This window comes from Homo sapiens, chromosome 7, assembly GCF_000001405.40.
Source record: "Homo sapiens chromosome 7, GRCh38.p14 Primary Assembly".
NCBI classification, from domain to species: Eukaryota; Metazoa; Chordata; class Mammalia; order Primates; family Hominidae; genus Homo; species Homo sapiens.
The window spans coordinates 46533597-46540820 of NC_000007.14; the positions used below are offsets into that span (position 1 = coordinate 46533597).

The 7224-nt window shown below is 42.2% G+C and overlaps 3 annotated features.

Moving 5' to 3' along the window:
• Nucleotides 849–1405: an enhancer, noted in NCBI's record as "OCT4-NANOG hESC enhancer chr7:46574043-46574599 (GRCh37/hg19 assembly coordinates)". NCBI's record gives its function as "activates a minimal SCP1, AML or CMV promoter by ChIP-STARR-seq in naive and primed H9 embryonic stem cells {active_cell/tissue: H9 hESC(naive and primed)}" and the evidence as "EXISTENCE:reporter gene assay evidence [ECO:0000049][PMID:30033119]".
• Nucleotides 1406–1961: an enhancer, noted in NCBI's record as "OCT4-NANOG hESC enhancer chr7:46574600-46575155 (GRCh37/hg19 assembly coordinates)". NCBI's record gives its function as "activates a minimal SCP1, AML or CMV promoter by ChIP-STARR-seq in naive and primed H9 embryonic stem cells {active_cell/tissue: H9 hESC(naive and primed)}" and the evidence as "EXISTENCE:reporter gene assay evidence [ECO:0000049][PMID:30033119]".
• Nucleotides 3143–3642: an enhancer, noted in NCBI's record as "H3K4me1 hESC enhancer chr7:46576337-46576836 (GRCh37/hg19 assembly coordinates)". NCBI's record gives its function as "activates a minimal SCP1, AML or CMV promoter by ChIP-STARR-seq in naive H9 embryonic stem cells {active_cell/tissue: H9 hESC(naive)}" and the evidence as "EXISTENCE:reporter gene assay evidence [ECO:0000049][PMID:30033119]".

Consider the following 7224-nt stretch of genomic DNA (forward strand, 5'->3'; position numbering starts at 1 on the left):
ATACATTTGTATGCCTTTTCTCCGATTAATCAATCTGCCTCATGTCAGTGATTTTCAGCAAACCTTTAAAGGGCTAAGAGCCTATGTACCCCACACCAGAATGGAAGCGTCTTTCTTCTGTCCCTCATGCAGCATCTCATTCTTGTGAGAGAAGGTTGAGAAATGGCTTATCTTGTGGGAAAGCAAAATCTCCCCAGAATTTCTGGATGTCCTGACTTCTAGGTGGACCTGTTGATCTTTTCACTCCTACCTTCTTAGCAGTAAACCAAGGCTCAGCCGCTTGGAGGAAGTTATTCTGAGATTGACTATGTGTACTCTCTCTAGTGGGAAGGAAGCAAGAAAACTAGTGGTTTTGTCCATCAGCGTTATCTGCAATAAGCTGGTTTTTTTATTTTTAAATTATATTTGTCTCTTTTGCCTATTCTCCCTTCTTTCAGAACTTTGGAGGGTGAGATGGAGAAAGAAGTGGGTGAACAGTCCACCTGTAGCCTGGTGTATGACATGGCATGCTAGCACGGGAGGCTGGCAAGGGAGGATTCTACTCAGGAAAGATGAGCAAGAGGGAAATGTAGCAAAAGGAGGTGACATTTAGGGCTGGGTGAGAGAGTGTGTGATACGTAGGTAGTTCTCAGATAGCCAAGAAGGCAAGGGTATTAAGCAAAGGGGCATGCAGCAAGAGGAAAAGCCCAGAGCAGCTGGGTGGCCTTGTGTGGCTGAAGCATCAGAGACAGCTAGGCTGATTATTCAGGAAGCTGGACCAGGACTTCTCTGGAAGAGATGTGCATGCCGTGGTGTCTTCTGTATGGGTACCATACCAATATTCTTGAAAGCACCAGTAGTTGAACACATTGAGACAGACCTGACCCCATCTGGAATTTATATACAATTATTTACCAAACTCTACCAATTTTTCTTCAAAATCTCCCTTATGCATAGTCTTTCCTAAAGAAACAAATTGTTCTTTTAGCCAATTATAATATCACCATCAGCAATTGCCTCCCTTAAGTGCTTGTGTTTGTCTTTTTGTTTCATTGAAGTTGAGGGAGAAAAATATATAATTAAACTGCAAGTGAGCAGGGAGTGAGGCAGTGGCAGCGAACCAGAAGCAACACACGCATTCACATTCCACTCGCTCATCAGTGACGTCTGATCTCAACTGAAATAATAAAGTTCCCAGGGAGGCATCATGACCCGCCAGTGACCTCCACAGGGAAACAGTGCATTTTATGGCCTGTTATAGGAGATGATCTTTGTGCCCTTTGAAAATCTCCTGGTCAATATGTTATGGAAAAGGAAGAGAAAACAATCTCATGAATTTCCAAATCATTTATCTAATGCACATTTCCTGGGGTCAACACTTCATCATGCTCTAAGATCAAGCCTAGGGATAGAGAAAACAAGCTTTGTCTCCTACCCCCCAGGAGATCACTTAAGTGACAAAGACAGCAATCATGACAACAGAGGGTGTCTGTGGAGTGCTATTCACAGAGGCTGTACTAAGTCCACTGGGAACACAGAAGAGAGAGCCTGGCTCTGTGTGGGGTGGGCTGGTGAGTGCTTCAGGGAAGAGATGCTGTGCTGGATCTTGGAGATGAAGAGGAATTTTCCAACAGATTAAGAAAGGGTGGGCATTGCATACACAAAAGAAAGAGTGGAAAAACATTTAGACAGAAGAATAAGAACCACATGCATTTAACAACTGTATTAGTGTGCTGGGGCTGCATAACAAAGTATCACAGCCTGCATGACATCACAGAAATTTATTCTTTCCCGGTTCTGGAAGCAACAAGTCTGAAATCAGGGTGTGAGCAGAATTGGCTCCCTTCTGAGGCCCTGAGGACAGAATCTGCTCCAGGCCTGTCTCCTAGCTACTGGTGGGTTTTTGGGCAATCTTTGGTGTTCCATGGCTTGCAGAAACATCATTCATGTCTCTACCTTCAGCTGTCCATGGTGTTCTCTGCATGTGTGTCTGTGTCCACATCTCCCCTTTTCCCCACCCCCATCTGTCTACGCACATGGTCGTCTTTGTCCTGGGCTTTCTTCTGCTCATTCTTCAAGCTTCAATTTCCCACATTAGATTTCCTTTCCCCTTGAAAGCCACCTCAGTCCATCATCTTGTCTAGAGATTAAAATATGTCATCCTGGACTAAAATTGCCAGTTTGCCTGACTGTACTTCCACTAGCCTGTAAACTTTTTGAAATTAAGGGCCAGCTTTCTCATTCATCAGTTGTATTTCCAGTGCCTAACCCGGTACATGGCATGCAGTAAGTGCTGAATAAATGTTTGTAGAATGTACGAAAAAATGAATGAACTCAAGCCAGTCTTTGAAAGATGAAGCCTTGACTTATTTTTCACAGAAACTGGACATCTGCCACAGCAGTGGATTTCTCATGAATGATTTAGCACCATCCCCTTGGTGCCGTCCTCATGACAATGAGTGAAACTCTCATGAGATCTGGTCATTTAAAAATATGCCGCACCTTCCTCTCTTCCTCTTGCTCCTGCCCCAACCACGTGGCTTGCCTGCTCCCCCTTTGCATTCTGTCATGATTGTAAGTTTCCTGAGGCCTCCCCAGAAGCGGAGCAGATGCCGTAATGCTTCCTGTACAGCCTGCAGGACTGTGAGCCAGTTAAGCCTCTTCTCTTTGTAAATTACCCAGATCCAGGTATTTCTTTATAGCAATGTGAGGACAAACTAATATAACCCAATAACTGACCTTCACTCTTTCACTTGTACCAAAAATAATTTGTGCAGAACCTGCTCAGCTCCAGCTAAAGGGGGAGTTTCAGCACTTGTGCTCTATGTTGAACAACGCCTAGATATATCCCAACGTTACTGGGTATCCTTGCTCCCAGAGCTCCCAAGATGGTGTTGGGCCGCTTCCAAGATGGTGGCAAGCCTCGTGTTCTCTGACCTGGGGTTCTTGGCCTCACAGATTCCAAGGAATGGAATCTTGGGCCACGGGGTGAGTGTTATAGCTCTGTTAGAAGCCGTGGGTCATGGAAGAGAACCGTGGAACCCAGTGACTACTGTTCAGCTCGATTAGGACGAACGCAGCACTTAGCAGCGCAGGAACATTGGCAAGCCTTTAGCCCGATCAGGAGCGGCAATGGGCACCTCGCTGGATCAGGAGCAGAGAGGACACCCTGCCAAAGGGAGGGAAGTCAGCGGCGGGTCTGTGGCGGCAGCAAACAGCAGTGGTGGATGGCGAGTGAAAGCTCAGCTCGAGCCGTAACAAACATGGACCAGAAGAGAGTGCAGTTGCAAGATTTAACAGAGTGAAGACAGAACTCCTATACAAAGGGAGGGGACCCAAAGAGGGTAGCCGTTGCTGGCTCCAGTGCCTGGGTTTATATCCCGATCATTGTATTGTCCCTCCTGCTGTGTTCTCAGGCGATAGATGATTGGCTATTTCTTTACCTCCTGTTTTTGCCTAATTAGCATTTTAGTGAGCTCTCTCTACCATCTGATTGGTCAGGTGTGAGCTAAATTGCAAGCCCTGTGTTTAAAGGTGGAAGCGGTCATCTTCCCCGCGAGGCTTGGGGATTCTTAGTCGACCTAGGAAATCCAGCTAGTCCTGTCTCTCACCAAGACAGTTCAACAACACCCATCTGTATGGATATGGTAGATTAACAGAATCTCAGGCACATGCCATTTCAGGACGTTCATGCACAGTGGTGTGCTGTGCCAAGCCAGAGTCTCAAACTTCCTTGTGGGAAATGTGAAGGAGATCTCTGCAGGGGAATAGCTATTTTCGAAATTAGAAACTCACAGCATTCAAACATGCTTCAGTTTTCACTACATTCTCTTCTACCAAGTGGAAGGGCTGAGTCAGAAAACTGGTGTGGAATTAGAAAAGATACTGGAAGTATTTTGAATCCATCAAAATAACTAAAATATTTTTGAAGATGTTTTTGGACTGGATAATCCAGAAACATGTTCTGCAAAACTCATCTCCAGCTAATTGACAACTTCATATGTACTTCAAAGAGAATGCCATCATCACGTCTCTGAAACGAGTACAAACCACACATGATACTTTTCTGTTTTAGAAGTCTTTGGATGGCAGCTTGTTCTGGAGCCCAGTGAACTTTGATGAAAGATGGTAAGAAGGGAATATTTCCATAAACATTTTCCCCCTTGAACCAATGGGGTATCATTAAACCAAAGTGAATCAGCAGATGCCCGGCAGGCTCCATTTGAATGGAAATTCACATATGCCAAGTATATCATGCTCTGTAGTCTGGGAAGAAAATATTGTTCTCTAATTGACAAATGGAATTTAAAAGTCAGTATACTCCAAAACTATAGATCTGACTAATGCTACTTTGGTCCTCTTAAACCTGTCTCCACTGAGTTATGATTTAAGAATTTATGACATGTAGATTTAACAATATGTCGCAGCATATTTTTGCATTCTTTTAAATAAAATTTCTACTATATACATTATCTAATGCACTTTATTTATGGAACCATTCAAAATCCACCCAGAACTCATTGCCAGGAAAAGTTTTTTCTACTAGTGACCTGGTGTGACACCTCCTACTTGGCCAGCATTTAATTAAATTTGCTTAATTTATTTTTAGTTCTGTGAGAGATTTAAGATGTTTTGTTTTGTTTTTTGAGACAGAGTCTCGCCCTGTCACCCAGGCTGGAGTGCAATGGCGTGATCTCGGCTCACTGTAACCTTCGCCTCCCGGATTCAAGCAATTCTCCTGCCTCAGCCTCCAGAGTAGCTGGGATTACAGGCACCTGCCACCATACCCAGCTAATTTTTTGTATCTTTAGTAGAGATGGGGCTTCACCATGTTGGCCAGGCTGGTCTCGAACTCCTGACCTCATGATCCACCCACCTCGGCCTTTCAAAGTGCTGGGGTTACAGACATGAGCCACCACGCCCGCCCCTTGTTTTGTTTTTCAAAAGGCGCTGTGGTTAAATACATTTGGGAAAACCTGGATAAATACAGTTAATTGTGATGTAACTGGAAAGCAGCACCAAGCCTTTAGCACTCTGATGTACGTTGTGAAGTTCTGGAAAATGCAGGCTCTGAGGACAACTTTTTTTAGCCAAGAAAACTCTTTCTTTTGAAATACAAAACAACTTTTCAGGTTTAGAGTTCTATAAAACATTCTTGGGGAAATACTATATAATAAGCGTTTTTTTCCCCTCTTTTTCCTGTCTGCATTGAAGCTCAGTGAAATTTTGTGGTCTGCATCTCATGTGTGTTGCTGATTCTTCCTCATGATGTGGGGAGAGGGTGCCTGTGGTAGAAAGGGCAGGACACTACCCTATAGCAGTTTGCCACTTGTAATTGGTGTACAGTTGCGAAGCCTGGCAAGCCTTAATTTTCTGGGGTATAAATTGGCAGCAAAATGTCTACCTTGTGGAATTCTTTGAAAATGTGAAGTTGCAACAATAATGCCATGTACTAATGTTCATTCAAAAATTAGTAGCCACTAGTTACATTTTATCCCATTTTACCTTTACTTATGTATAATTGTCTAAAAATTGTAGTATGTTTTTATTCAAAGCTATTTCAAATTTACATAAGGAAAATGGAATAGCTAAGTAAGTGATTAAAATATTTAAGATATTTAAGTAATTTTAAATAGGAAATAATGTTGGGACTATTTTTCAATTAGCATTTTGCCATATTTTAGGAAATCGATGATAGTTTTTATTCTAGAAAGAAATCAAGCCTAAATATATTGTCTATGTGTTTACGCTAAAAAAAAAGGATTTCAAAGCTCTCTAATTAAAATAAAATATATACATATAATATATATATATATATATTTTATTTTAATGTAGGATTAAAATAAAATATATACATATAATATATATATATATATATATATATATTTTATTTTAATGTAGGAGAAGCCTAAATGTTGGGTAACTTCATTCATTCATGCCTTCATTCATTTAATAACCACTTATGTAACTGGCATAGCCAGTTTGCCAGCGTACTCCAAATGTATCACCTCTCTCACTTTATTTCTTGCCGCACATATATCTAACTACCTGTTTGCTTGAGAATTCTAAAGGCTAATCTTGGAAAAATCCAGGCATGAAGCAGAGATGTTGATAGCAATTTTCTCCCTTTGCAAAAGAAATCAATGCACAATTCATCCATAACTGGATCCCTAGTGAGATAAAACCAACCAGGTCTCTGGATGGTCCATTACTCAAGTCTATCATCAAAAAATGACAAGCAAACCTACACTTCACACCATTCCTGCACATTGTTTCCGTGCTACCTTTCCCTTTAAGGCTCCTTTAGCCCACCTGAGAATTCAAGATAGCTTTTTGAGACTTGATTCTGGCCGTCTTCTAAGTGGCTAGCACTTGAATAAAGCTGCTTTGCTTCCACCCAGCTTTGGTTGTCCTGTATGTGGCTTTTCAAGCAGTGAGCAGCCAATCCTGAGTTTGCTTACAATAGCCAGGTGCCCAGCATGGGGCTACATGCCTCAGGCTATCTAGCCTGCCCAGTATCCAACAGAAGGAGCATTTGGATGCGGCAGCATGCCAAGGCTTACCTGTTCATGCTGTTGGGCAAAGCAAAAACTGCTCATGATTGCTGCTCCTGGCCAGCTGACCTGATGGCTGGGATTCTAGGAATGACCCAACAGCTGCCGAGAACTCTTTTTCTGAGGGAGTCCCCTTGTCTCCCCACTGTGGTATCAGCTGCCTTCAACACTGCACTGGTGTGAAGAAAATGGGGATTGGGAAGCCGACAGGCCTCAGAACTGCAGAAGCTGAACTGGTGTGCTTACCAGAAATCCTGTCTGCCTTTTGAGCTTTGTGCCATTTGGACCTAACATAGTTCGTTTGTGGTACCCATTGCTTTGAATTACAATTTATTAACTTTCCAGTCTCCCTCTATAGGAATTTGCTTGAGAGGACTTCCTTTGTTTGCTTTGATCTCTCTGTGTTTGTGCTCTTCTGTTCTCTACCCTGAGAATGGGTGGCTCAATTTCTATTCCACCTAAGAGCTTGTGAGGCCATATCTTGGATGATTAAAAAGCTCATAGCTACAAACCCATGACAAAAATAAAGCTAATTTAATATTATTAAGAAAAACAGCTACATGTTCTGAGTGATTAGCAAAACGCTCATGTGTTTAACTTTAAGATTCTACTTTGGTGAACATCTGATGTTCCCAGGCTTTAAAAATGGTTAACAAAAAACATGTTTTAATACAAAATTAATTATAAAAAT